The sequence below is a fragment of the Homo sapiens genome, chromosome 14 (assembly GCF_000001405.40).
Source record: "Homo sapiens chromosome 14, GRCh38.p14 Primary Assembly".
Taxonomy (NCBI): domain Eukaryota; kingdom Metazoa; phylum Chordata; class Mammalia; order Primates; family Hominidae; genus Homo; species Homo sapiens.
Window position 1 is genome coordinate 105,394,105 of NC_000014.9, and position 26,687 is coordinate 105,420,791.

Genomic DNA, 26,687 nt, shown 5'->3' on the forward strand with positions numbered 1-26,687 from the left:
TCTGGGAGGCTTTCCTCTTTTTGAGCACGGGTCAGATGACCTCCAGGTCGACGTGGCCCTGTCTCCCCACAGGGGTCTCTGTTTTAAGGGGGCTCCCACTGTCTTCTTCCCACACCTGTGCAGGTGGAAGTGGATGTGGACGAGCAGCGCCTGGCGGAAGGTGGTGGGGTCTGCTCCTTCCACCTGCAGGCAGCCCTGGGGGAAATGCTGCCCTCCCCACCCCCCAGGGCTCTGAGTGTGGAGGGCAGGGGCAGGAATGGCGTCCCTCAGGAGCCAGCATGGCCCTGGAGCCCCCGAGTCCCTGAGGAAAGTGTTGATGCCCTCCAGCATGGGGCTCCTTCTCATCCTGTACGCCCGGCTGCCACCCAGCCTGGTGGGCCAGGCAGGCAGGTGGATAGGGTGGGCAGGCCGGGCAGGGGGGCAGGCGGTCAGGCAGCCCTCTCCCACAGTCCTCATCGACGGCGTGGAGTGCAGCGACGTCAAGTTCTTCCAGCTGGCCGCGCAGTGGTCCTCGCACGTGAAGCACTTCCCCATCTGCATCTTCGGACACTCCAAGGCCACCTTCTAGCCCCACCCACCAGGGGGCCCACCTCCTGCCCCATGCTGTGAGGGGCCCAGCTGCATTTCTGTTAACATTTCAGTTTACTACAGAGACAGACGCTTAAAACACAAAGAGAAACAGTCTTAAGTATGAATGTGCTCACAACGTGGAAACTAACGGGGGAGCTCCTGCCAGGAGCCGAATAACTGCTCTGCTTATTAACCCGAACGTTCGGCCCGGGGCTGGGAAGCCAGAAGGACGATGCTGAGCCATGGATCGCGGAAGGCGTCCTCTGGCCTCAGGAGCCACCCAGAGCCTCACAGGCTGAGTTCTTGCCTCTGTGTCCTGTCCTTCCTGGAAGTCAGGACTCTGCTTCCTCAGGGAGCCCGGGGAAGGCGGAGCTCAGTGGCCACAGGCCGAGGGCCATGGGGCCGCTCAGTCCCGTTGGGGTTGTCCTGAGTTGAGCCTGGGGGGGCCGTCCTGCCCGCCTAAGAGATGCCCCCAGCACCGCACACTCGTGGTTCCCAATAAACTCCTGCCTGCGGCGGAGGTTTTATAGCAGCAGATATTTTTAATGCTTTTCAATACATGTTCTAATGTAGCTGCCAAACATGTTGCTCTTCTGAAGTCCCCCTGGGGCTGGGCAGAGCCAGCAGAGCCTGCCCCCACTTCCCCAGCCCCTGCCCCACCCCGCCTCACACCTTCCCCACTCTCAGGCTGTTCTTGAAACACCATGAGGCTTCTGCGTGTAGTCCCTGCCCCAAACTTAGCAAGCACAGGGGCCTCCACAGCCCAGGTGGCCCCAGAAAATGTTCCAGAGCCCAGCTTGGTACATAGTGAGATGCTGCTGGGGTTGGCCTGAGGTGGGGGCCACTTCCTCCACCCCAGTGGGTATGTCTGAGGTCAGCCATGGGGATATCTGGGTTGAGATTCAGGTTTTGGTGAATATGGGGCAGGCGTCCAGATGTGTTTGTGTCACCTGCTGCAACGCTGTAGCCAATGAAGATTCCAGCGGGATGGCCTGACCAGCGGGGCCGGCACTTTGGAGCCGTGGGTGCAGCCAGGTACCCCGTGCAGGGCCTGGGAGGCTCTCCAGGCCACAGTCCTCAGAGCGTGTTGGGTCCCATGTTGTGTGTGGGTTCCATGCCCTCCACACAGCAGGAGAGGGCTTCCCTGACCACACCTGCCCCCTCAGTCCTGCTTCTCCCCAGTAAGCCTGCACTGTGGGGTCTCCATAGGAGGAGCTGGGGAAGCTGGGGCCCTCCCAGGGGTCCTGATCGACCCTGGGGGCTCTTGGCCTGGTTTCGTAAGATGGAGCACTGCAAAAGGCCATGCTCAGAAAGCAAACGCAGGGCAGGGTGGGCCTCGAGCCGGGGCTGGAGGGGTCTCCACCCTTGCTGGCCTGAGAGATGGCCCACATTTCTTACTTGTGACCGCCCTGCTCTTCCTGGCCGCCCCCCCCAGGTGGCTGAACAGGGTGATTTTGTTGTGGTGAGGGGCCAGGATGTGGCCTGGTGTGCAGCCTCAGCTCCCTGGGTTCAGGCCTCAGAGGTAGCCTGTGTGCAGGAGGCAGAGCCCCAGCCCCTCCCAGCCAGAGCCCCTCCACACCAGGGACTCCTCCTTCACCTGGGACCAGGAGCCTGGGGCACACCCCAGGGTGGGGGAGAGGGTAGGAAGGTCTCCCATTGAATCCTGGCTTCAGGCTCTGCCCCGAGAAGTGTCTGCGGTGAGGGTGTGAGCCCCGGGCTGATGGCCTCTGACCCCGGCAACAGGTGGGACCCTGACTGACTCGTTCAGCTGCCCCCAAGCTGGGCTGCAGAGCATCTGTTTTTCTGCTCTCCAGTTTCTTTTCTTTTTTTTTTTTTTTTTTTTTGAGATGGAGTCTTGCTCTGTTGCCCAGGCTGGAGTGCAGTGGCATGATCTCAGCTCACTGCAGCCTCCGTCTCCCAGGTTCAAGCAGTTCTCCTGCCTCAGCCTCCCGAGTAGCTGGGATTACAGGCGTGTGCCACCACACCTGGCTATTTTTTTTGTATTTTTAGTAGAGATGGGGTTTTGCCATGTTGGCCAGGCTGGTCTTGAACTCCTGACCTCAAGTGATCCACCCGCCTCGGCCTCCCAAAGTGCTGGGATTACAGGCGTGAGTCACCGCGTCCTGCCTGCTCTTCCTGTTTCTTTCCCAAGGGTCACACTCAGTAGGGAGATGAAGGTGGAAACATCCTTGCTGTGGCTTTCTGGCCTCAGAGCAGGTTTTAGAGGAAGGGGCCACAGGCTGCCTAGTGCATCCTGGCTGTGGGCAGCCCCTTTCCTGGAGCCCTCCTGCCTACCCCGTACCTCCCATCTGGCTGCACAGCTCCATCCTTAGCCACGCAAGGGGAGAACATGGGCAGAGTCTCCATCCAGCAGCTGGGGGTTCTGGTGGCACTCCCTGTGCCCCTGCTGCTGCTGGGCTGTGGGTCTGCCCTGCACCCAGGAGCCCCACGGTCCATCCCCCACACCATGCCCAGCACCAGGGAGGTTGGGCAGACAAGACCTGGGCCATGCCAGCCCTCTGTGCCTCGGTTTTCCCACTGGTTACACAGGATGGTCGCATTTTCCCTGCCTACCTCACAGAGCTGTTCTGAGGGTGCATGGAGGAGCACTCTGTCCCACCAAGGACAACTAGAAACCAAAGCCATCTGACAGCCAGTGCGGTAAGGGCGGGGGATGTGTGTGTGAGGTGTGCACACCCCCCGAGAACCTGGCCCTGGACTGGCCTCACAGGACAGGAGGCAGCCCCTTGTAGAGCTAGGGCTCAGCCCCATCAGTCTCAAAGGTTAAGCCACCAGTCACCACCGAGGCACCCCTCAGGCCTGGTGGCCACTGTCCACTATTACGTAGACAGACCCCACCCTCACCCAGGCCAGCTGTGGGCCAGTCCCGCCCTGCAATCTGGTCTGCTGCCTTCCTCTTCCATGTTGGTCCCCTTGGCCACTGTCTCTGGGCATGCAAGCCAGTGTCCTGGTTCAGTGCCTCGGCCAGAGCTGGGGCAGGAGAGGGGCCTCTGGGTGAGAGCTGGGGGTGTCTCTGCAGGGTACTGGCAGCCTTGCCACACTGTCCTCATTCCCAGATGGAAAGACCTGAGTGCCTCTCGCCTTCCTCCGGGAATGAATTCCTCATGAAAATGACCAGGCCACTTCTTCCGAGGGCCAGGCCGCCCCCTCCCCGAGACCTGTCCTGCCGTCCGCGGGTGTGTGGCCTGTAGGGGACTGAGAGCTGGGCTTGCTGGGCACCTCTGGAATCTGACCCTGTGGGCCAAAGAAGCACCACTGTAGTTTCTGCAGACCCCCATGCGGTTCATTGTGCATTGTTTGGTTTCTAGGATGTATGTGTTGCTAGTTTTTTTTAATGAAACCCTGGATTAATGTAAATAGCTTTTTGGGGAACGGATTCTAATGTCACGTATGTGACCGTGTGGACTATTTCAAGGTGCTGATGCAACACTAATAAACCTGGAGGGGCCGGCCCCCGCCTGCAGTGTGATTCTCTCGGCCGTCCACCCCTTGGGAGCACGCGGCGGAGCAGCGCCTCCCTCCCGCCCGCGCGCCCCGTCCTGGGTCGCCCCGCCCCAGCCCTGCGGCCCCGCGCGCGCGGAGGTGGCCCGGGGCTCAGCGGCATCGCGCCGCTTGAAGGGCGCAGGGCCGAAAGGGGCTCTGGCCGACAAACCCCAAGTTCAGGTCTGTGCTTCGGGAGACCCCGGAGGCCGACGCCCGGAAGGGCCCGTGGGGCGGTAGCGGCCATAGACCCGGATATGCGCCGGGGACCCCCAGACCGCGCCCATCCCCCACCCGCCGCAACGGAGCCCAGAACGCAGGCGCGGCGCAGACCGGAAGCGGAACCGGTGGGGGCGGGGCTTGCCGTAGCGGACGTTCTGGAGCGAGGCGCCGGCCCCTTGGGCCCCCTCAAGCCGCGGTGTACTCCAGCGGCCCCCTGTGGCCTCTCCATCCGCGGCGGGTCTGTCCCTCCTTCTGTCTCCGGGTGCCCACGTACCCCCCACCTCCGACCGCCGTTCCCGTGTACCCCGCCCCCCCGCCGAACCCCAGAGTGCCCACGGCCTCCAGCGTGTGTCCTGAGCCTTCTTCCCCCGTCCCTCCGCGGACCCCGGCCGCGCAGACCCCGCCTCCCCACCGGAGAGGGCGGGCACGTAAGGGCTCCGGGCTGGGCCTGGGGCGAGGCCTGGGCCGCGTGGAGGGGAGGTCTCAGGGTCGGAAGCGGGGCTGTGGCAAGAGCTCTGGGCCTTTCCTTCGCCCCGGGCGTAGCAAGGCCGGGCCCTGAGAGCGTGCCCGCAGTGCTGGCTGAGGGCTGATGCCCCTGGAACGTTTGAGAAGGCTGGCAGAGGCGTGGAGTCCGTGCAGCAGGCTGCCGAAGGCTTTCCAGGCTCCCGGGGTGGGGTCGGCAGGGGCAGAGAGGACAGTTCGGGAGGCTGGTGTGGAGAAGAGCTGCGGCGGGAGCTGGGGGATCCACTCCACCCAGAGGGGTCAGTGATGCCTGACCTTTGGCTGGAAGGTGACCCTAGCAGACCGCGATACTGCCACCATCTGCCCCCAGGGACTCAGGTATTGGTGGGCACGTGGGTGGCCTTGTGGGCCCCGCCCCACCTCCCCCTGCTCCTACCCCCAGATCTCAGAGGTGTGGACAAGCAGCCTACTAGGGCTAGAGATGGACAGCAGGAAACTGTCCCCCCGGGGGAAGAAGCTGGAGTCGCACCTCTCCCAAGAGCACAGGCGGCCCCCACTGGGCCTGATAGCAGCCTGGGGCCAGCCCAGTATCCAGAGCAGCGTTCAGCAGGGACTGCAGACTCAGGACTGGGTAAGCGGAAGGAAACCCTGGCCGAGGCTACTCTCCTGTCCCCAGCCCGCCTGAGGCCGCTGTCTCTGAAAACTCCAGGCTGGTCGTGATGAGCAGCCTCAGGGGAGGGCTGAGTGGGGACTGATGAGAAACAGATGGCTGGACTCAGGAGGCTCTCTTCCCCATGGCCCTGGACGAGCACCAAGGTGGACCTGCACCCTTCTTGCTTCCAGAACCGTGGGCCGCTGGGCTCTGTAGAGAGGTCTTCCAAGGCCAGGAAGGAGGCAAGGCAACACACTTCCCTTAGCTCTCCCCAGTGCCTCCCACCCCAGGCTGAAGGTGGCAAGAAGCGGGAGGGAAAGCAAGGTCCCCAGGGGGGGTGGTGTCCTCCCAACCAGGTGGGGCAGCTGTCAGGAGAAGGATTTGTCACTGAAAGTTGACCAAAACAAAATAGTGGGAGAGGCTCTGCTGTGATTCCCCAAACTGGAAGCATCTCCTGGTCTCTCTACTGCTGGACAGTGAGCTACAGGCTTGTGTCAGGCCCAGTAGTGAGAATGGTGGGATATAGCTGTTCAGCCTTAGGACGTTCTCTGAGGGCAGAGGAAGCCAGAACCCCACTCGTGTGGTTCCACTTTTGGAAGGTTCAAAGCCAGGCTGAGAGATGGCTCTAGGCTGTGGCGAGATGGGTGCAGGGGCTCCTGGGCACTGGCAATGCTTTGGCAGCTGGCGCTGGTCATGCGGCCAGTTCAGTGTGGGGAGCTCATTGAGCCATGCACACAGGCGTGTCTGCGTGTGTTCCCAGGGCTGCCCGCTGAGGCCCCTTTGTACCCTCTCAGTCATGTCCTTCAGGCCCAAATGCTTTCAAAACCCCTATGATGGTGTCAGGTGCTGGGGAGTGGGGTGACCAAACCAGCAGATGCAGTGGCTTTTGGGAGGCGAACATCTCATGACAGGCAATCCGGACTATAAATACACATAGGTCACCTGTCTAGTGAGGGCCGCTCAGGAGGAGGGCCAGGGGGTGTGAGGCTTCTGTCCTGCACAGGGCTGGGGACAGGGCACTATGTCTGAAGGGGTAGGGATGTGGATGCAGGAGGAGTGTGTATTGGACCCATATCCAGCAAGGACACAGGGACCCAGTGGCTCTTGGGCAGGGGCAGCCAGGCTGTATTTGTAGTTCCAAGAGATGGACTGGTGGCTATGGGTAATGGTGGTTGAGGACAAGGCTGGGAGGCAGAAGAGTGGGCTGAAGGCCTCCAAGGGCAGGCGAGCAGTGGGAGAATTAGGTTGTTGGCCAAGGGTGGAAAGAGGTATGGGTGCATCTCTGCTGACGGGCAGGTTTTTAGTTTGGGGACAGGGAATCTTCCCTAAAAAATGTGGGTGCCCAGATGACTTTATAGGTGGGCACTCCCAAACAAGAAATTAGTCATCCTCATTGATGAAGCTTCACCTGCCCAGAGCCACTTCTGATATGGACCTGGTATCACCCAATACCAGTGCCAGAAGAGAACAGAGGGAGAAAAGGAAAAAGAGAAAATGATGTGCCAGTCTACCTGTGGGCATAGATTGAAAAATCCTGAGTAAGTACTAGACCAAATCCAGGAGCACCTGAAATGCAGAATTTCATAGCCGTAAGGATGGGTCCTGCACACTTCCGCCTGCCAGGAGAGCAGGCACATGTCTCTTCACAGCTCTGTCCCAGTGCTTAGGACAGTGTCTGGCACATAGTAGGTGCTCAATGAATGTATATGGAATAAATGAAGTTGTATGTAAATAAAAGAAGATTGTAACCCAAGGACAAAGGAATTTTGAAATCTGTAAATAAAGTTCAGTAACAACAGGTGGAAAATCACATGATTATCTCAATAGATGTTGAAAAGTAATACTAATAAATTCCAGTATCTTTCCTTAAGAACAAAAGAAGTCGCAGCCATAAAAAAGGATGAGTTCATGTCCTTTGTAGGGACATGGATGAAGCTGGAAACCATCATTCTCAGCAAACTATCGCAAGGACAAAAAACCAGATGCTGCATGTTCTCACTCATAGGTGGGAATTGAACAATGACAACACTTGGACACAGGAAGGGGAACATCACACACCGGGGACTCTTGTGGGGTGGGGGGAGGGGGGAGGGATAGCATTAGGAGATACACCTAATGCTAAATGACGAGTTAATGGGTGCAGCACACCAACATGGCACATGGATACATATGTAACAAACCTGCATGTTGTGCACATGTACCCTAGAACTTAAAAGTATAATTTAAAAAAAACCGAAGTATAGAAACCTGTAGGTTCTGGATAAGATGGGAAGAGATGGACATCTCCATAGCCTGACGGAGGGGAGCTCTCAAGAGCTTGCAGTGGCCACCAATGGAAGTATTTCAGATGCAAGCAGATGGATGCATGGTACCACTATGACGTCAGAAAAATCGCCAGGTGCGGTGGCTCATGCCTGTAATCCCAACAATTCAGGAGGCCGAGGCAGGCGGATCACCTGAGGTCGAGAGTTGGAGACCATCCTGGCAAATGGGATGAAACCCCGTCTCTATTAAAAATACAAAAACTAGCTGGGCATGGTGGTGGGTGCCTATAATCCCAGCTACTTGGGAGGCTGAGGCAGGAGAATTGCTTGAACCTGGGAGTTGGAGGATGCAGTGAGCCGAGATTCCGCCACCACACTCCAGCCTGGGCGACAGAGGGAGACTGTCTCAAAAAAGTAAATAAACAGTATTCTGGAAACCGAAGCCCTTATAGTAAATCAAGAAAATGAGATGTGTAAATATCTGAAAAGATGACAATCACTATTTGCATCTAATATGTTACCTACTTGGAAAATCCAATTTAAGAAACATGAGTACAGATAAAAGAGGGAGTTTGGATATGTGATCACCATTCACAACTTTTCAACACAGTAAAAAGCAGAAAATGGAATGGAAGCAAAGGATACTATTCAACTTAGCAACAGGAACTATGAAGTTCTTAGAAATAAACCTGTTATTGGCCGGGTGTGGTGGCTCACGCCTGTAATCCCAGCACTTTGGGAGGCTGGGGCGGGCAGATCACAAGGTCTGGAGATCAAGACCATCCTGGCTAACACGGTGAAACCCCGTCTCTACTAAAAAATACAAAAAAATTAGCCGGGCGTGGTGGCGGGCGCCTGTAGTCCCAGCTACTCGGGAGGCTGAGGCAGGAGAATGGCGTGAACCCGGGAGGCGGAGCTTGCAGTGAGACGAGATTGCGCTACTGCACTCCAGCCTGGGCGACAGAGCGAGACTCCGTCTCAAAAAAAAAAAAAAAAAAAGAGAAACCTGTTGTTCAATTCCTTCATGAAGAACACTTTACAATGTTACTGAATAGCATGTAGAGCTCCTGATGGAGATGGTTATCATATTGGATGGGCAGATTTCATATGTGTGTTTTTGAGACAGGGTCTTGCTCTGTCACCAGGCTGGAGTACAGTGGTATGATCACAGTGTTACTGGAAAAGGGATCTCCATCTGGACCCCAAGAGAGGGTTTTTGGATCTCATGCAGGAAGGAGTTTGAGGCGAGCTGCAGAGTGCAGTGAGAAGAGATCATTTATTGAAAGCCGCTCCACTGCAGAGCAGGGCATCCTCAACAAGCAAGCAGAGGAACAGACCTACTTTGTTTTTAGTTTTTCTTATATCGAGGTCTTATCTATGTAAAGACCAAGCTGTGCCTACGTGTGGGTGGGCTGACAGCATAACAATTTATTATTCTATTGATTAAAAGGAAACTATTTTACATTTTAGTGTGCAAGTACATTAAAGCATCACTATAATTATCTTGAAAGCATATATTATTGTGGGTGTTGGGACATCTGAACTTCCTTTTCTATGAGTTTGTCCTTGTAGGCATTACCAAGCTGCTTCCTTAGCTGTAAACATCTTAGGTCCGTGGTTGTGACCTGTAAGGAATGTGCTCTATTAGTCTCAAGGTGGAGTTGAACATAAAATGATGTTATCCTGGCTCTCCTAGACTCCTGCTTCTCTAATCACAGCTCACTACAGCCTGGACCTCCTGGACTCCAGCTATCCTCCCACCTCAGCCTCCCAAGTAGCTGGGACCACAGTGGCATGCCACCATGCCTAGCTAATTTTAAAAAAATTTTTGCAGAGATGGGGTCTTACTGTGTTGCCTGGTGTGGTCTTGAACTGGGCTCATGTGATCCTCCAGCTTTGGGGTCCCAAAGTGTTAGGATTATAGGCATGAGCCATTGCGCCCAGCCAGATTTAACGTTTTAAACATGCCAAGCTTCCCAAAAACAATTCAGTGTTTTTTAAAAAAACAGACTTCATGAATCTTGAAAATTTCATTTTAAATGTACATAGTGATTCTGGAAATGTATTACTAGTTTACTTTTTAAAAAAAATTACAGACAGGGTCTCACTATGTTACCTAGGCTGGTCTCTAACTCCTGGCCTTCCTAAGAGCTGGGATCACAGGCATGAGCCACCATACCCAGCCTTTGGCAATGTATTGGTTATCCATTGCTGCATGACAAATTTCCCCAGAGCTTAGCAACTTAAAACAGTAAGTATTTTTATCTTAGTTTCCGTAGGTCAGAAATTTGGGAGCTGCTTAGCTGGTGGCTTTGGTTTGAGATCTCTCAGGAGCTTATAGTTGAGATAGCAGTCAACACTTCAGTCATCTCAAAGCTTGAGGAAGGCTGGAGACTGCTTCCACGGCAGCTCACTCACATGACTGGCGAGTCCATGATAGGGGCTGGCAGGAGGCTCAGCTCCTTACCACGTGGATCTCCCCATAGGACAGCTTCAGTATCCTCAGTATGGGGGCTGGCTTCCCCCAGAGTGAGTGAGTGGAGAGAGTGAGCTGAAAGCTGCAATGACTTCCATGACTTAACCTTGGAAGTCACACTCCTCTCTTTCTACAGTATCCGTTTTGGATACACTGGTCATCCTATTTAGTGTGAGAGGGGACGACACAGGGGCATGGATACCAGGAGGTGAGGATCATTGGATGCCATCTTGGAGGACAGCTCTCACAGGCAGTCATTTAGTCTATACGCTTTAAGAAATTATGTACTGAGAAGCATAATAGTGAAATTGTAGAATGCCAGCGACAAAAACCTCAGAAGCAATTTGAGTGGGAAGACAGAACCTTCAAAGCAGCCACGGGAGCTCGTCACAGTAGAGCAGTAGCATGCCTGTGCTCAGGGGAAGCCATGCTCAGCCTGGAATAGCAGGCCCAGCAAAAATGGATTATACAAAGGGCTAAGTAAAGTTTTTAAATGATAAAAAAGAGAATTTGCCCCCAGCACACTCTCACCTCAGTTCTGAAGAAATGATCTCAAAGCATCATGAAAGTGATGAAAGGTCTGAAATGGATAAAGCATGAGAGGAAGTAGGAAGTGTCTGAGTAAACTGAAACTGACAGTCACTGGATGTCACTCATGCACAGAAAAGCAAGGATACAATCAATATATGTACCTGCAATGGCATAAATGTCAAGATGGTGCCTGTGAGTGGAACTAAAGTGTTCTCAGTTCCTCTGAGAAGAGGAGGGGGGTGGGCCATGGTGGCTCACACCTGTAATCCCAGCACTTTGGGAGGCCTAGGTGGGAGGATTGCTTGAGCTCAGCCTGGCAACATGGCAAAACCCCATCTCTATAAAAAAATCACAAAAAGTTAGCCAGGCATGGTGGCATGTACCTGTAGTGCCAGCTACGTGGAGGCTGAGGCAGGAGGATCACTTGTGTCTGTGAGGCGGAAACTGCAGTGAGCTGAGATTGCACCACCACACTCCAGCCTGGGCAACAGAGCCAGACCTTGACTCAAAAAAAAAAAAAGATCGAGTTGCTTGTCATCTTTGGAGTTAGATGAGTTTGCCTGCCCTCACATATTACAGCAGAAGAACAGAAGGAGATACGATGGCAGATAGAATCGCCGGTACGTCATTTAATTCAGTCAATGAAAACGGACTAAGTGTTCCAGTTAAAAGACAGACATTGTCAGAGTGGGTTGAAAACAACCAAATTCAGCGGTAGGGTTGTGAACGTGTGCAGCGGTAAGCACAGGAATATTCCAACCGCAGGGTGAAGATGGACACCAAACGGCCGTGCATCAGTTCACATTGCATTTTTCTGTCAAACAGCAAACTTACCTCGGATTTGGGAATGTGGTTGTGTGGACGCCTGTTGCGTGCAGCCGTGAGCGTGAGTCTCATAGACCTGTTCCTGAGTGAAAGAGGCAAAAAGGTGACAAAATTATTCATGCCATGTGGCTTTGTTCAGAGTTCAAAAGCATGCAGAAGTAAACAAGATATTGCCAATATTCATTAAAGTATAATTTGAAAAAATAAAGATGTTTTAAAATGTTTACTTGGAAAAGGAACCATACAACAATTTTGGAAAATAAGAGCAAGGCCTGGCTTGTCCGCACCAGCTCCAACAACTAAAACTGTGTGGCCCTGTGGCAGAAGGTGGCAAAGACACCACTGCCTGGACAAGTAACCCGGAAACCAACCTGTGCATAAATGTGGGGATTTAATTTATGTTGAGCATGGCATTTCAGAGTAGTGAGAAACAGACCTTTCAATAAGTGGTATTGGGGTGATTGGCTGTATAGTTAGAAGACGGTAGAGTGCGGGTCCGTCTCTCAAAAAAATGCACACACAAAAAACATTAAACCCAAACCATGTGAGCACTGAGAGAGTATATGAGAGAATATTTGGGATCTGGAAGTGATAAGTGCCTTTCGTAGGCCAAACACAAAATCCTTGAAGGAAAAGCCTGACAAATCTAACTACAGAGTTTTTAAACATTTCTGTGCAATCAAAGACACAAAAATGTTAAACGACAGCCTGGAAGAAAATACTTGTAATATTTATAACATTCAAATGTTTACCAACCAGAATCTATGAAGAGATGCTTGAAAGCAATGAGGAAACTATTTTTAAAACTGGATAGAAAAGTGGGCCAGGCACAGTGGTTCACTGCTGTAAATCCCAGCACTTCAGGAGGCCAAGGCAGGAGGATCACTTAAGGCCAGGAGTTCAAGACCAGTCTGGACAGCATAGTGAAACCCTATCTCTGCAAAAAATAAAAATTAGCCCGGGTGGCGTGCCACTGTAGGCTCCCAGCTGCTCGGGAGGCAGAACAAGACCCTGTATCTTTAAAAAAAAGGAGGAAAAAAATGAATTAAGTCTACGTACTTGCAGTTCCTAAAAAAAAAAAAAAGGAACTAAATGAAACAGTGAAAAAGTTGGCAAAAATTATAAAGGTGGATCTATGTGGAGTTGGTGAGGATGTAAGGAAAGAGTAAGTCTGTTTTATTGGTTTTTCAAAGAGCCCATTGTGATCATTATTCACCATTTTTAAATTTTAATTTAGTCATTAATCTTTCCTAATTTCATCTTTAAGCTTTCAGACCATTTCTTTTGCTGTTCTTTTTGTATCTTTTCAAATAATTTGCACGGTCATGGTTTGGGGACCTTTTTCTAAAGATGTATTTAAAGCTCCAGCTTCTCGCAGCACAGCTTTGACCATACCTCACGTTTTGGTGTGTCCTGATTTCATCGTTCGTTTCTCAGCCACCATGTCTGGCTAATTTCTTAATTTTTTTTTTTTTTTTTTGAGACAGTCTCACTCTGTCACCCAGGCTGGAGTGCAGTGGCGTGATCTTGGCTCACTGCAGCCTCCACCTCTTGGGTTCAAGCAATTCTCCTGTCTCAGCCTCCTGAGTAGCTGGGATTACAGGTGCACACCACCATGCCTGGCTAATCTTTTATATTTTAGTAGGCATGGGGTTTCATCATGTTGCTCAGGCTGGTCTCGAACTCCTGAGCTCAGGCCATTCACCCACCTTGGCTTCCCAAAGTGCTGGGATTACAGGCATGAGCCACCATGCCCGGCCAGTTTCTTAAATTTTTTTAGAGATGGGATCTCACTTTGTTGTCTAGGCTAGAGTGCAGCGTGTGGCACCATGACGGCTCACTGCAGCCTTGAACTCCTAGCCTCAAGTGATCCTCCCATCTCAGCCTCCCGAATAGCTGGGACTGTAGGTACACGTCACCATGCCCAGCTAATTATTTTTTGTAGAGATGAGGTCTCCCTATGTTGCCCAGGCTGGTCTCGAACTTCTCTGCTGAGGTCAAGCCATCCTGCCTAGGCCTCCCAAAGTGTTGGGATTACAGACGAGAGCCACTGCACTCTGCCATTGTTTCTTTCTAAATAAATTGGTATTTCAGTCTTTATTTTCTTTTTCACTCAGGACTTAATTAGAAGGGTGTTTTGGAATGTCCATATCAACAGGAGTGTTTTGTTATCCTTTTGCTATTAATTTCTAATTGTGTCACTTTGTAGTTGCAGAACCCTGTGTTATGGGGGTCTGTCTGCATGGGGGTCCATCTGTGTTATGGGGGTCTGTCTGCATGGGGGTCCATCTGTGTTATGGGGGTCTGTCTGCATGGGGGTCTGTCTGTGTTATGGGGCTCTATCTGCATTGGGGTCTATTTTGTTTGTGGCCAATTCATGTGCATGTTGAGCTTGTTTGGGAAGAACATGGATTCTCTATGAGTTAAAGAGTTCTGTGCATGTTCTCCTGTGTCTGTTGGATTACTCATTACTTAAATCTTATTTTTTTTAAATTTTAAATTACTTTTGTTAAAACATATATATTTAGAACAGCAGTCCCCAAAGCCACTCTCAGCCCTTGCAGACGTCCCACCGCATGCTGAGGTGAGAAGTGCACTTTTGCCGGTGCGCTGCCTCCTTTTCTTTCTTTCTTTCTTCCTTTTTTTTTTTTTTGAAACGGAGTCTCACTCTATCACCAGGCTGGAGTGCAGTGGCGTGATCTTGGCTCACTGCAACCTCCGCCTCCGGGGTTCAAGTGGTTCTCCTGCCTCAGCCTCCCAAGTAGCTGGGACTACAGGCACCCACCACCACACCCAGCTAATTTTTGTGTTTTGTTTGTTTGTTTTTTGTTTTTGAGACAGAGTCTCGCTCCATCACCCAGACTGGAGTGCAATGGCATGATCTTGGCTCACTGCAACCTCTGCCTCCTGGGTTCAAGCAATTCTCCTGCCTTAGCTTCCCAAGTAGTTGGGATTACAGGTGCGTGCCACCATGCTGGGCTAATTTTTGTATTTTTAGTAGAAACAGGGTTTCGCCATGCTGACCAGGCTGGTCTCAAACTCCTGACCTCTGGTGATCTGCCCGCCTCGGCCTCCCAAAATGCTGGGATTACAGGCGTGAGCCACCGTGCCCGGCCGCACTGCCTCCTTTTCATTCCTCTGTCTTGCATTCTGTCCATGCCCCACCGCAGAGACGAAGGGTGTAGCGCCCCTTCCCCATCCTCCCACCAGCATTCTGTCTACTCAGCAGAAACCCAATTCCACTGTTAGCTTTACAGTGACCATGTGGCATCGTGACCGTGGGATGGCCGTGTTGCCTTTGTGCTGTTTTCCCTGGAGGAAATCATTGTGTTCCCCCCTCCTCCCCCTCCCCCTCCTCCTGCTCCTCCTCCTCCTCCTCCCTCTTCTACGAACTGATTATTCTTTCCTAAACCTTCCAACAAATCTAGGACTCTCCTCTCACAGACCCCTGTACATTGGGTCGTCTGGAGCTGTGTTTTCTCCTTGGCAGTGGCCTTCCTGGAGCCCTGGACTGCCAGCAACCAGCCCAGCTGGCAGGGCCACTGAGTAGCCTTCCCCACTCCCTCTCCCCTCCCCCTACAATCCGCCTGCCTCCTGTCTACAGGACCCCTTGTTTCCTGGGCCCCAGCTTGTTCTCCTTGGTTTATCCTTTGTTTTGGTGGAGTACATCTAGCAGCTTCCTCCAAAAGGGTTCAGAGGATGTGAAAGTTTTTGAGACTCTAAAGATATGAAAATATCTTTATTCTGCCTGTATGCTTGAATGACACCTTGGTTGGGTGAGATACTAGGTGGGAAATAATTTTCTTTCAGGATTTTAAGGCTTTGTCCATCACCTTCTAGCTTGCAGCGCTGCTGTGTGGTGGTGCCCTAGACTATTAAGACTTCTTCTTCTTCTTTTTTTTTTTTTTTTTGAGACAGAGTCTTGCACTGTCACCCAGGCTGGAGTGCAGTGGTGCAATCCTAGCTCACTGTGGCCTTGAACTCCTGGGGAGTTCAAGGGGATGGAGCGATCCTCCCTCCTCAGCCTCCTGAAGTGCTTGGATTATAGCTACTGTGCCCAGCCAGGATTTTCTTACATTTTCTGTTTCTTTCTCCCTTCCTTTCTTTCTTTCATTCATTCTTTCTTTCGTTCTTTTTCTCTCTTTCTCCTTCCTTCCTTCTTTTTCTTTCTCTCTCTCTTTTTTTTTTTTCCAGAGTCTTACTCTGTCACCCAGGCTGGAGTGCAGTGGCAAAATCACAGTTCACTGCAGCCTCAGCCTCCTGGGCTCAAGCAATCTCTGCCTCAGCCTCCCCAGTAGCAAGGACTACAGGCATGTGCCACTGAACTTGGCTAATTTTTTAATTTTTCTTTTGTAGAGATGGGGTCTCACAGGCTGGTTTAGAATTCCTGGCCTCAAGCGATCCTCCTGCCTTGGGCTCCCAAACTGCTGGGATTGCAGATGTGAACCATGGCGCCTAGCCTCCTTACCTTTTTTGTTTGTTTGTTTGAGACGGAGTTTTGCTCTTGTTGCCCAGGCTGAAGTACAATGGTGTGATCTCGGCTCAGTGCAACCTCCACCTCCCGGATTCAAGCGATTCTCCTGCCTCAGCCTCTTGAGTAGCTGGGATTACAGGCATGTGCCACCACGCCTGGCTAATTTTGTATTTTTAGTAGAGATGGGGTTTTTCCACGTTGGTCAGGCTAGTCTCGAACTCCTGACCTCAGGTGATCTACTCGCCTCGGCCTCCCAAAATGCTGGGATTACAGGCATGAGCCACCACACCCGGCCAGCCTTTTTACTTTTTAAGGCTTAATAATATTCCATTTTCTGGATCTGCCACATTTTCTTTATCCATTGATCCATTGTGGAAACCTGGATTCCTTCCACATTTTCGCTATTGTGAATAATGACCACTGCTGTGTTGGAGTGCGCACATCTGTTTGCCTTCCTGCCTTCAACTCTTTTGGGTACATACCCCAAAGCGGAATTGCTGGATCCCATGCAATTCTGATTTTAATGTTTTGAGGAATGAGAATTCACTTCGGGTTTGCATGAATCCCACTCTTAGCATGGCACTGCCTTCTCTCCCCTCTCCCCTTCCCCCTGGTGAGGGAGGTGGAGGATGGTGAACCTCAGGCTGAGCAGAGTCTGGAGGAACCGTCTCCTGCAGCCCACGTGGGAAGTTCCTTCTTGGGGGATAGAGGTCGTGCTGGGGACCTCACCTGCTTCTGGCCTTTCCCTGTGGCCCTCCCACAGCTTCTCCAGCTGGTGGTCCCTGCCCTCCAGTCTCCTGTACCCTGCCAGGGGCCCTCCTCCACTGGCGCTGGTCTTTTGTCTATGGATTCATGATCTTTATTTTCTCCCGAACTCTCTTTATGATCATTTCAGAGGGGTCTGGGGAGAAGGGCAGTCTGGAGCTGGCCTTAGTCCTGCCTTTCCTGAGGCACGCATCAGTGCTCGAGCTCCGGGGGTTCTCCTGCCGGTCAAGCCGGGGGCCGGCCGTGAGGACTAAGCGGTCCACAGGCAGCCCTGCTGTACATGAAGCGGGGCAGGTACTGGGTTGGGCGGTGTCCTGGCACAGATGACTGTGCAAAGCCACAGAGGGCCACACTGCCTGAGGCCCCGCGCCGGGAGCTGGCGCTGGAGCAGCGGGAGGCTGAGCAGACGGCGCTTTAGAAAGCGCCCGGGGGCGAGCTCTGAGGGTCGGCGGGTGCTGGGTGGGAGCGGCGAAGGGGAGCTGGCGCCGAGGCCCTCGCCGACCCGCTGCCCTGTCCCCCAGGTGTGCGAGCCGCCGGAACGCAGGCGCCCGGGCCGCCGCTGGAGCGTCAGCATCGACGAGCGCCGGCGGCTGGCCACGCTGGGCGGCCGGGAGAGGCCGGGCGCCGCCGGGACCCAGCTGCACTGCAGGGTGCGCGGGGGGCGGGTCCTCCCCGCCCCGTCCCCGCCCCGCCCCGCCCCTCCGCCTCGCCTCCCTCGACTCAGTCCCACTGGGCCCTTTACCCCGGCGCTCCCGGGCCCCGCCGTTGTCCCCTTCCCGCCCCTCGAGGCTCCCTGACCACCCTCGCCCGCAGGACGTCGTGCAGATGGTAGCCCAGCTGGTGTCGGAGGACGTGGACAAGGACGTGCTCCTTCCCCACCCGCTGAGGTCCACCGAGTCCACCAACGCCTTCCAGGCCTTCCTGGCGCGCAGTGCGCCTTTCTGGCATAATGCGACTTTCGAGGCCTCGAGGTCACCCCCTTCCTAAGAGCCCCATTCAGCCCATTGTCTGTCTTCCAGTGCCTTTCCTTGGGGGCCCACGGTGGGGGCAGCCTCTGCGCCTTCTTTGTGCCCCACCAGGGGGTCACCACCCACCCATGTTAGGAAAACAGGCCAGGCAGGACCTGGCTCCGGACAGCCTGCAGCTGCTGAGGCCTTGGAGACCGGGCTAGGGGCTATGGGAGGCCATCTAGGGGAGGGGAACACTGCCCCGGGTCAGTCTGAGAGGGCCCTGGCAAGGCCTGGGTAGCAGGAGCTTGCCCTCGGGGCCGCTGGGAGGAGGCCTGGGGTACCTGGGCCTGCCTGAGGTGCACTGGTGTCCTGGGAAGCCCCAGTGGCAGGCGCTGCCTGGAGACTCAGCTCCTTGGCTGGCCTGGTCTGGGGAACTGGGTATCTGCCTGCACCAGGCTGTGAGATGGGCCAGGCAGAGTTCTCCAGGGGGCGGGGTCTCACATTGGGTCCTGCCTCTGAAGACCCAGAAGGGCACACGGGACCCCAGGGGTGCTGTGGTGGGGAGCAGCAAGCCCAGGGACCCAATGCAGTGCCCAGCACAGAGGGAGGCTGTCTGGAGGCAGAGATGCCTCCTGGCCTCTGGACAGCGATGCTGGTGGTGGACGAGGGCCAAGAGGGTATCCTGCGCAGGGGGTCTGAGCAACTGTGAGGAGCTGGCTGCCGCAGGGGCCTGTGGGACATGGTCCACTGGGTGACTGCCTCGTTTCCAGGCTGCAGGGCCCTCGGAAGGGTGCTGAGCCGGGGTAACGTGTCCCAGCTGCATTTTGGGGACACTAAGTTGCAGGGGGACTGGATTGGGAGGCGGGGCAGGAGAGCTGTGAGCATGGGTTCCCAGCCCGGGGTGGGTGGGGGTGGGGAAAGGGCCCTGAACTCTGTGACTGACTGTTAGGGGCCTGACTGGGCTTCTGTGGAGGTGGCTAGGTGGAGGAGGCTTTGGGGCAAGCGGAGGTGATCACTCCTGGGCTCCAGGTGAGGGCAGGAGCTGGACCTGTGCGGTGGCCTGGACCACCAGATACACTACATGCTGGCTGTGCTGCCCACCTGGCCTGTAACCCTCCCCTTCCCGCTGCTGAGAAGCCACCTGACTGCACTGCCAGCCACCTGCTGCCCTGACACAGGATCCCTGGCCCGAGTTGAATCCTCTGCACCTGCCTGTCTCCCCTTCTTACTGTAAGACTCAGTGAAGTTCCCTCCTCCTTCAGGAAGCCTTCCAAGATTACACAGCCAGGTGCTCCCCTTCTCTCCCAAGTCCTCTGAATGTCATTTGGTGCACCCTAGGGATCCTCTGCATTTCTCAGGAGCCCTAGGGTAGGTGGATGGAGGGCAGATCCTCCAGGGGCTAGGGCAGGTGTCCTTAAGGGTGTGGGGAGTTTTGGGCAGGGCACTGTCCTTAAGGGTGTGGGGAGTTTTGGGTCATGACCCACCCCCTCTGAGGCCCCTGATGATGATGTGGGGAATGGGATCCTATGGGCCCAGCTGCATGCCAGGCAGGCATCCCCAGGTGTAAACAGGGCAGAGCGGAGCTGACAGGTAAGCAGTTGCCATGGGGGTGATGAGCTGGGCAGTCCTCTGTTGCTGAGTGGCTTTAAAGAACCACTCGTTGTTCTGTGACTTGGGGGTTGGCTGGGCTCATCCTGCCAGCTCTCCTGCTCTCGTTTGAGTGTCTCCTGAGGCTGCAGTCAGAGCGTGGTGGTCCAGGATGCTGGTGATGCTGGGATGGTTGCCCTCTCTGCTCCATGAGGTCTCCCTACAGAGCACCTCCCCCATGGTGGCAGCAGAGACAAAACCCTGGCCTCCTTCAGGCTGAGGCCCAGAGCCAGTCTCCTGGTGGGTAAGGTGGCCACAGGGCCAGCTGGCAGCAGGGTATTGGCACTGAGAGGCACAGGCCTCTCCAACAGAGGTGGTGCCGGGACAGGGGCAGTGCCTGGAGACCGCTTAGGTTGTCACAACTGGGATTTGTGTACTAGTTTTCTGTAGCTGCCATAAAAATTGCCACAAATTCAGTAGGTTTGGTTTCTTTTTCTTTTTTCTTTTTTTGGTGGTTGGGGCGGAGCGGGGGGCAGGCTTGCTATGTTGCCCAGGCTGGTCTTGAACTATTGGACTCAAGTGATCCCCCGACTTTGGCCTCCTGGGTAGCTGGGACTGCAGGTGCATCCCACCACACCCGGCCTTTATTTTTTTTTTTGTAAGTTTTTATAGAGAAACAGTCTTGGTATGTTGCTCAGGCTGGTCTTGAACTCCTTGACCCAAGCAATCCTCTTGCCTCGGCCTCCTGAGTAGCTGGGGTTACATGAGTGTTCCACTGGTGCCTGGCTTTGAGTGTTTTAAAACAACACAAATGTATTAGCTAAGTTTTGTAGAAGTTCAAAATGGGTATCTTTGGGCTCAGAATGAGGGGTTGGCAGAGTTCTGTTCCTTCTGGAGGTGCCAGGGGAGACCCTGTTTCCCTTTTTCTAGCCTCAAGAAGCCACCTGCATTCCTTGGCTGGTAGTTGTGGCCTCCTTCGGAGCGGCCGAGCCCCTCTCTGCCCTGCCCTTCTCTGCCCACCTCTCCATTGCCTCCCTCCTGCACCCTGAAACACACTTGTGGCTACGCTGGGCCCACCCGGAAGATCCAGGGTCGCCTGCCTGCTTTCGGGTGAACTGGTTAGCCCCCTTCCTAACCTGCCACTTAACCCAGTTAACCCAGCCTGCTCCAAGGTTCTGGGGATTTGTACACAAGTATCTGTGAGAGGGGCATTCTGCCTTCCACAGGGGCTGCCGGCACCTGGTGGGCAGAGGCGGCGGCGCTGTGCTGCTCAGGATCCCGCAATGCATGGGCAGCCCCAAACCATGAGGGCCCGGCAGGAAACCCGGGGGCAGAGGAGGGTGCGTGCGGCGGGAGCGCATGTGAAGCCCACCTTGCAAGGGGAGGGGCGCGCTCTTCGCGGGACGGCAGAGGGAGGGTCTCTGAGGCGCGTGGAATCAAGGGGACAGAAGAAGCAGTCTCGGGAGTGGGAAGGATCCTGGGAGGGGAGTGGGAAGGATCCTGGGAGGGGAGTGGGAAGGATCCTGGGAGGGGAGTGGGAAGGATCCTGGGAGGGGAGTGGGAAGGATCCTGGGAGGGGAGTGGGGATCCCCCGAAGTCTCGCAGCAGTAGTGTGGTGCTTAGGCCGTCGCCCCGGCCGCCACTGCGCCTCCCCACCCGCAGGCCTCCGCAGCGCCACGGGCGGCCGCGCGGGGTAGCGTTTGGGGGCTCCCGGGGACGCGGTCTCCGGCGCGCAGGTCCGCCCAGGGTTGGCCGCGTGGTCCCCCGGGCTTCCCACGCCCGATTCGAATTGTGACTCCGGCTGGCTCCGGACCGAGCCGAGGACGCTCCGGCACCACAGCAGGAGCCGCGCGGGCGGGGGCGCGGGGCGCGGAACGGGGCGCGGGGCGCCTGGGAGATGTAGTTCGCGGCCTTCCCCGGCGCACCAGACAATGCCCGACGCGGCCCCGCTGGAGAAACGCCTTCCTTGGCTTTGCAGAAACACCGCTTGCTATTAATACAGCAACGAATACAGCTTTAAAAACGCGCCCAGTGTCCTCCCTGGAATAACAGCTGTTAACATTACCTAAAGGTTATCCCAGATATTTCTAAATGTATATGGGGAGATAAAAGGATGTAATGGAAATACAGAAATACGTGTCGAGTTGCTACTTATAGACTTTTAAATATTTAAAGAAAAAAATTGCTAAAAGCAGATGAATGCTTCTTCACCTCAAGTTTAAAAGTCTCCTTACGATGGCCGGGCGCCGTGGCTCAGGCCTGTAATCCCGGCACTTTGGGAAGCCAAGGCAGGCAGATCGCTTGAGCTCAGGAGTTGGAGAACAGCCTGGGCAACAAAGGGAAGCTCCATCCATACTGAAGATACAAAAATCAGCCGGGCGTGGTGGTGCTCTCCTGTAGTCCCAGCTACTTGGGAGGCTGAGGTGGGAGGATCGCTTGAGCTCAGGAAGTCGAGGCTGCAGTGAGCCGAGATAGGCCCACTGCACTTGAGCCTGGGTGACAGAGTGAGACCCTGTCTCCAAAAAAAAAAAAAAAAAAGTCTTCTACGATTATTTTTAGAAATTACAAAAACATCAAGAGATGAGTGTGTTTGGTTTACAGCAGCAAAGCACGGTTCGGCTGAGGCGGCACCGGCTGACTTCTGCCTGTGAATGGTGAGGAACTGGCACTGACATTTCCATATCCCCTGGCAGGGCATTTCTTACCAGAAGATCAAGGCTCACCGCCAGTATTTGACCCACTGAAAGTCTTTGTTTTGATTTACATCTTTACTGGCTGGACTTAAGATCAGTTTTTGTTGTTGTTGTTAGACAGGGTCTTGCTCTGCCACCCACGCCGCAGTGCAGAGGTGCTATCTCGGCTCACTGCGAACTATGCCTCTCAGGCCTAAGCTATCCTCCTGCCTCAGCCTCTCAAGTAGCAGGGACTACAGGCATGCACCACCACGCCCCGCTAATTTTTATATTTTTCAGTAGAGATGGGTTTTCACTATGTTGCCCAGGCTGGTCTCAAACTCCTGGGTTCAAGTGACCTGCCCAAAGTGCTGGAACTTCAGAGCCAGAGCCCTGGTTTTATACACTTTATTATGTTCCCCTCCCTGCTAGATTGCAAACCCTCTGAGGGCAAAGGTGCTGTTTCCTTACCCTCCAAGGCCTAGAGTGGCCTGTAGCTTGAAGTAGATGTTTAACAAATAATCAATGAGTAAATTATTGTGTTAATCACTTTGTCTTGCTCTGAAATTATCTCAAGCCTTTCATCTCCAAGTAACTTGATATTCTGCCCTTTGCTGTTTATGACTTGATCCAGCCACGGTGCGATTTTGGTGCTTCCGGTTTGCTTGGCTCTTAACTCTTCCTCCCATCCTGCTGTTTTGTCGTCAAGCATTTGAATTCCTGATTGTTGAATTCATGCTGCTATGAAGCTCTGAAAGAAGTCCTGTGGAGTCCTCTTCTGTTTCTTTGGTTGCGTTTTCTTATTTATTTATTTATTTATTTATTTATTTTTTATTTTTGTTTCTTTGAGACGGAGTCTCACTGTGCCGCCCCCAGGCTGGAGTGCAGTGGTGTGGTCTCGGCTCCTGGGTTCATGCAATTCTCCTGCCTCAGCCTCCGGAGTAGCTGGGACTACAGGCACGCGCTACCACACCCAGTTAATTTTTTTGTATTTTTAGTAGAGATGAGGTTTCACTATGTTGACCAGGCTGGTCTCGAACTCCTGACCTCAGGTGATCCTCCTGCCTTGGCCTCCCAAAGTGCTGGGATTACAGGCGTGAGCCACCACGCTCAGCCCAGTTGTGTTTTCTTCCATACTGGGTTTCTCACCGGCCCCTCACACCCTCGATGACTTGTTTTTCTGTTGTTGAATGACATGGATGTGGTCACGTGCCACCTCTCAGCAATGCTCCCACCTCAGCCTCCGGGGATATGCCACTACTTCTGTAGTGCTTTCTGACGTGAAAGCTCTTTCCTGAATGTCTATTCGCTCTGCTACTAAGTGGATGGAGTGGATGGATTTTTTTTTTTTTTTTTTTTTTGGAGACGGAGTCTCGCTCTGTCGCCCAGGCTGGAGTGCAGTGGCATGATCTCGGCTCACTGCAAGCTCCGCTTCCTGGGTTCACGCCATTCTTCTGCCTCAGCCTCCGGAGTAGCTGGGACTACAGGCGCCCGCCACCACGCCCAGCTAATTTTTTCTATTTTTAGTAGAGACGGGGTTTCACCGTGTTAGCCAGGATGGTCTCGACCTCCTGCTCGTGATCCTCCCGCCTCAGCCTCCCAAAGTGCTGGGATTACAGGCGTGAGCCACCGCACCCAGCTGGATTCTTCTTAATTCTTTGTTTTTATTGTTTGACTCACCTGAGGTCTTTGGACTTTGCCTCTGAGCTGGCTTAAGGGCAATCCACCTTGTTCACTGGTCTGGAGTGGGGAGGCAGAGTATGGGTCGGCTGGAGGAGTGGGGCTCTGTGCTCTCTTTTGAGAGTTTACTAAACGTCACTCTGCATGGTGAGGGGTGTGTCCTCTCCGCTGGGGAGGCCTGGCTTGAATTTCAGATTGCCTCCCTGGGACACCAGACCCTGTGCTGTGCTCCCTCAGAAGGACAGCCTTGACTGTCTCCACTCCAGCAGTCAGTTCTCTCCACTCCCACTGGGAGAAGGAGCAAAGGCTGGTGTCTTCAGGAGGCTCCTCTCCAGGCTGGGGCCAGGGAAGAGTGTGCATGTCACTGTCAGGATGTGTCCCAGTGGTGTGGCTGGGTTCTCAGGGTGAAGCTCGTCCATTTCTGGGATGGCAGCGGAAGCAGGCACTACACACGCAGCTTCAGGGGGCTCTCCCCATGCTTCCTAGCTGCCTGGCACTTTCTGGTGTTTCTGGCTAACTTTCTGGCCATGCCAGGAGTTGGTGGAAGGAGATCTCAGGCTGCAGCTTTGCTTTCCTGCTGAGGAGACAGAGGTAGGCTGGGGCTGTAGGACAGGGGAGGCCAGCAGCCCCACCTTCCTTCTGGAGAGACGCTGCCTGTCTGTCATTGCCCCTCTCCTGCACCTGGCCGCTGGCTGGCTGCTCTTCCCTCCCAATCACCAGCAAGCCAGCTCCTGTTCCCTGCAGCCCAGCCCGCAGGATGTGTCCTGGGACCCATAGCCCTCTCTCCCCAGAGACAGCACCGCCCTGCAGCTCGGGTTCCTGGCCCTGTGCTAACCCTGGTGGGGCTTTCCTTACTGGTCTGCTCTGCAGCCATGACATTGTGGCCACCGCTCTCCTTGGGACCCCCACCTGGCTTTCCTCCCAGCACATGCTGTTTCCTACCCACCTGGATGGTGTCCTGTGTGCTGGATTCCCCATGCTGTGTCCCCAGCATCCTGACCATGTCTGTCCCGCCTGCCTAGATCTTGCACCGTGGCCACGGGGCTCCCTCCTGATAGCCCTGAACGCTCCGCTCCATGTCCTACAGAGAGGGATGTCCCAAGTAGATGTCAGCTCCCTCCAGCATCTGAGCAGGCAGGACAGAGACCCACGGTGCTGCTCACATCAGCAGCCTGGAACCCCGAGACAGCTCCTTTTGCTCACCTCCCCCAACACTGATGTTGCACCTGTCTCCAAGCCACTCTGGGACCATCTGTTTCTCTCCATCTGGGAAGCCCCCTTCGCACCTCATGCTCTTCCTGGCTGGGGCGTCTGGGTCACTCACTGGACTCTCCTCTCCTTAGACCTGTGCACAAGCACACACGGGAAGGCATCCTGACAGGTGGTGGGAAGAGAAGGCAGCTGCCTCACTGCGGAAAGAGCACGGCCGCTCCTGGACTCCAGCCCTGTTGGGGCTGGCGGGGTCAGCAGGCGCTGGGTTCCAGCCTCAGGTGGGGTCTTTGGAGGTGGCCTCTGGGCACAGGCACCTCCTCTGCGGCCTTCTCACCAGGTCACGGTTCAGGGAGGCTTTGCCGGCTACGGAGCCTGCCCACACCAAGGCGCGCACGACCACCTGTCCAGAGATGCCACGCGGGCTGGGCGGCGAAGGCCAAGGACACGCCCTGCCTGGTGTCGGGGGCAAAGGTTAGGCCTGGAAGGGAGGTGTGGGGTGGGGACCCCGAGGCCAGGGCTGGGCCGCTGAGCTTCAGGGCCCTTGGGGGGCTCAGGGAGGAATGCCGGAGGACCCCAGCATCAGGAGGAACCCCTGGAGAGCTACGGCAGGACTCACCTGTGGGGCACAGGGAGGGATCACCAGGGAAATGGCCCTTGTGGAGGATCTCCCCTCTACCCCCAGGGCACCAGGGGAGGATCTACCAGGGGGTTCTGGTGGAAGGGCCCACCCGGGAAGCGGCGCGCGGGGAGGACTCGGGGGCGCCGAGAGGAACTGTCCGGGAAGGGGCGCGCGGGCCGCGGGCGGCGCGGGGTCGGTAACGGCCCGTGCGGTGGGCGGCGGCGCCCGAGGCCCCTCCCCGCCGCCCGCGGCCGCTCCTCCTCTTCCTCTCCCGCCCGCGCCGCGGCCCTCCCGTCCCTGCGCGGCCTCGGCGGCCTCGGCGGCGGCGGCGGCGGCGGCGGCGGCAGCAGCGCGGCCCCTTTAAACGCCTGCGGCGCCCCCCGCCCCCGCCATCGCGCCTCCATTTTCCCGGCCGCCCGCGCCGAGCGCCGCGCCCGCCCCGGGCCCCTCCGCCGCCGCCGGCCCGGACATGGCCGCCAACATGTACAGGGTCGGAGGTAAGGCCGCACCGCCTTTATGCCCGGCCCCGACCCGCCCGCAGCCCCCACCCGCCGCCGCTGCCGCCTCCCCCGCCCCTCTGCCCCGCAGGCCCCGCGCCCCCCGCCCGCCCTCGCGGCCCCCGGCTCCTTCCCGAACCGCCCCCCGCCGTGCTCACCCCAACCCAAAATGGCCCCGCGGGTCGGCCCCATCGGGGGCGGGCGGGGCTCGGCGGCCCGGGGGTGGGGGGCGGCCCACCTGTTGGGGCCGAGGGGGCGGCCGCGGGGGTGGCGGGGGGGCGCGGGGCCTGCGGGACATCCGGGGGTCCGGGGCCGGGAGCCCCCAGCGGGAGCACGTGGCCTTGGGAGGCGCCGGCTGCCGGTCTGGGAGCAGGAGTTTTGGGGCTGTGGGGTCTCCCCCGGCCCGCGGCCCTGTGCTGGGACTCCGGTGCATCCCCTCTGGGGATGGGGAGCCCCGGTGAGGGGCCACGTTCCTCCCTAGAGCCCTCCTGCAGCCTGGCCCCGGGGCTTCCCCCAGCAGGGATCCCTCAGGGGGTCTTCAGCAGGGAGCGAGCATCCCGAGCACGCCTCTAAGTCCCCCCAAACTTTTCCCTGCCTCTCGCTCACCTCAGCCCATTCGGGAGGCGCTTTGCAAGGGTTGGGGAGAGGCCGGAGGGCCTCCTGGGCAGGGGCTTCCTCCGTGGGCCCAGCCTCCTGTTGCTCGGGCCCCCCGGGCCTGCAGCTTTGAG

The 26,687-nt window shown here is 55.6% G+C and overlaps 3 protein-coding genes and 1 long non-coding RNA gene across 27 annotated transcripts in view, besides 13 other annotated features; 3 read left to right on the forward strand and 1 right to left on the reverse strand.

Annotated features, from left to right (window-relative positions):
• The window catches only part of PACS2 (phosphofurin acidic cluster sorting protein 2), a 97,374-nt gene extending 93,331 nt beyond the window's left edge, over positions 1-4,043 (forward strand). For all 16 annotated transcript variants that reach the window (XM_017021112.3, XM_017021111.3, NM_001243127.3 and 13 more), the window contains one exon: positions 450-4,043. In XM_017021112.3, the coding sequence (XP_016876601.1) occupies positions 450-568 (119 nt within the window). In that variant the 3' untranslated portion in view covers positions 569-4,043. The remainder of the gene's footprint in view (positions 1-449) is intronic.
• Positions 3,947-4,856: a silencer, noted in NCBI's record as "silent region_6231". NCBI's record gives its function as "represses an Ori minimal core promoter by ATAC-STARR-seq in GM12878 lymphoblastoid cells {active_cell/tissue: GM12878}" and the evidence as "EXISTENCE:reporter gene assay evidence [ECO:0000049][PMID:35858748]".
• Positions 3,947-5,034: a biological region, named in NCBI's record as "H3K27ac-H3K4me1 hESC enhancer GRCh37_chr14:105864965-105865475".
• TEX22 (testis expressed 22) lies at positions 4,434-19,755 on the forward strand. 2 transcript variants are annotated; one of them, XM_006720234.4, is made up of 4 exons: positions 4,434-4,721; positions 5,198-5,386; positions 17,264-17,392; positions 17,556-19,755. In XM_006720234.4, the coding sequence occupies exons 2-4, from the start codon at positions 5,237-5,239 to the stop codon at positions 17,727-17,729; spliced, it is 453 nt and encodes a 150-aa protein (XP_006720297.1). In that variant the 5' UTR covers positions 4,434-4,721; positions 5,198-5,236; the 3' UTR covers positions 17,730-19,755. The 2 variants fall into 2 exon arrangements, with proteins under 2 accessions (XP_006720297.1, NP_001182011.1); NM_001195082.2 differs by having other exon boundaries at positions 4,434-4,531.
• Positions 4,524-5,034: an enhancer, noted in NCBI's record as "H3K27ac-H3K4me1 hESC enhancer chr14:105864965-105865475 (GRCh37/hg19 assembly coordinates)". NCBI's record gives its function as "activates a minimal SCP1, AML or CMV promoter by ChIP-STARR-seq in naive H9 embryonic stem cells {active_cell/tissue: H9 hESC(naive)}" and the evidence as "EXISTENCE:reporter gene assay evidence [ECO:0000049][PMID:30033119]".
• Positions 5,035-5,545: an enhancer, noted in NCBI's record as "H3K27ac-H3K4me1 hESC enhancer chr14:105865476-105865986 (GRCh37/hg19 assembly coordinates)". NCBI's record gives its function as "activates a minimal SCP1, AML or CMV promoter by ChIP-STARR-seq in naive H9 embryonic stem cells {active_cell/tissue: H9 hESC(naive)}" and the evidence as "EXISTENCE:reporter gene assay evidence [ECO:0000049][PMID:30033119]".
• Positions 17,137-17,196: a silencer, noted in NCBI's record as "silent region_6232". NCBI's record gives its function as "represses an Ori minimal core promoter by ATAC-STARR-seq in GM12878 lymphoblastoid cells {active_cell/tissue: GM12878}" and the evidence as "EXISTENCE:reporter gene assay evidence [ECO:0000049][PMID:35858748]".
• Positions 17,297-17,426: a silencer, noted in NCBI's record as "silent region_6233". NCBI's record gives its function as "represses an Ori minimal core promoter by ATAC-STARR-seq in GM12878 lymphoblastoid cells {active_cell/tissue: GM12878}" and the evidence as "EXISTENCE:reporter gene assay evidence [ECO:0000049][PMID:35858748]".
• Positions 17,498-18,001: an enhancer, noted in NCBI's record as "H3K27ac-H3K4me1 hESC enhancer chr14:105877939-105878442 (GRCh37/hg19 assembly coordinates)". NCBI's record gives its function as "activates a minimal SCP1, AML or CMV promoter by ChIP-STARR-seq in naive H9 embryonic stem cells {active_cell/tissue: H9 hESC(naive)}" and the evidence as "EXISTENCE:reporter gene assay evidence [ECO:0000049][PMID:30033119]".
• Positions 18,002-18,504: an enhancer, noted in NCBI's record as "H3K27ac-H3K4me1 hESC enhancer chr14:105878443-105878945 (GRCh37/hg19 assembly coordinates)". NCBI's record gives its function as "activates a minimal SCP1, AML or CMV promoter by ChIP-STARR-seq in naive H9 embryonic stem cells {active_cell/tissue: H9 hESC(naive)}" and the evidence as "EXISTENCE:reporter gene assay evidence [ECO:0000049][PMID:30033119]".
• Positions 20,842-21,251: a silencer, noted in NCBI's record as "silent region_6234". NCBI's record gives its function as "represses an Ori minimal core promoter by ATAC-STARR-seq in GM12878 lymphoblastoid cells {active_cell/tissue: GM12878}" and the evidence as "EXISTENCE:reporter gene assay evidence [ECO:0000049][PMID:35858748]".
• On the reverse strand, positions 23,477-25,635 carry MTA1-DT (MTA1 divergent transcript). Of its 2 annotated transcripts, NR_125384.1 has the most exons (3): positions 24,918-25,635; positions 24,578-24,712; positions 23,477-24,205 (listed from the first exon to the last, which is right to left on the reverse strand). It is a non-coding gene; the product is annotated as an MTA1 divergent transcript (long non-coding RNA). The 2 variants fall into 2 exon arrangements; NR_125385.1 differs by lacking the exon at positions 24,578-24,712.
• Positions 23,920-24,589: an enhancer, noted in NCBI's record as "H3K4me1 hESC enhancer chr14:105884361-105885030 (GRCh37/hg19 assembly coordinates)". NCBI's record gives its function as "activates a minimal SCP1, AML or CMV promoter by ChIP-STARR-seq in primed H9 embryonic stem cells {active_cell/tissue: H9 hESC(primed)}" and the evidence as "EXISTENCE:reporter gene assay evidence [ECO:0000049][PMID:30033119]".
• Positions 25,287-25,386: a silencer, noted in NCBI's record as "silent region_6235". NCBI's record gives its function as "represses an Ori minimal core promoter by ATAC-STARR-seq in GM12878 lymphoblastoid cells {active_cell/tissue: GM12878}" and the evidence as "EXISTENCE:reporter gene assay evidence [ECO:0000049][PMID:35858748]".
• Positions 25,417-25,466: a silencer, noted in NCBI's record as "silent region_6236". NCBI's record gives its function as "represses an Ori minimal core promoter by ATAC-STARR-seq in GM12878 lymphoblastoid cells {active_cell/tissue: GM12878}" and the evidence as "EXISTENCE:reporter gene assay evidence [ECO:0000049][PMID:35858748]".
• Positions 25,557-25,816: a silencer, noted in NCBI's record as "silent region_6237". NCBI's record gives its function as "represses an Ori minimal core promoter by ATAC-STARR-seq in GM12878 lymphoblastoid cells {active_cell/tissue: GM12878}" and the evidence as "EXISTENCE:reporter gene assay evidence [ECO:0000049][PMID:35858748]".
• The window catches only part of MTA1 (metastasis associated 1), a 50,903-nt gene continuing 49,938 nt past the window's right edge, over positions 25,723-26,687 (forward strand). For all 7 annotated transcript variants that reach the window (XM_047431904.1, NM_004689.4, NM_001411061.1 and 4 more), the window contains exon 1: positions 25,723-25,959. In XM_047431904.1, coding sequence (XP_047287860.1) covers positions 25,932-25,959 — 28 coding nt within the window. In that variant the 5' untranslated portion in view covers positions 25,723-25,931. The remainder of the gene's footprint in view (positions 25,960-26,687) is intronic.

Coding starts and splice junctions, on each gene's coding strand:
- TEX22 (XM_006720234.4), top strand. CDS start 5,237: ATGGACAGCAGGAAACTGTCCCCCCGGGGGAAGAAGCTGGAGTCGCAC. Junction 5,387..17,263: donor GACTGCAGACTCAGGACTGG/GTAAGCGGAAGG, acceptor CCTGTCCCCCAG/GTGTGCGAGCCGCCGGAACG. Junction 17,393..17,555: donor GGACCCAGCTGCACTGCAGG/GTGCGCGGGGGG, acceptor CCTCGCCCGCAG/GACGTCGTGCAGATGGTAGC.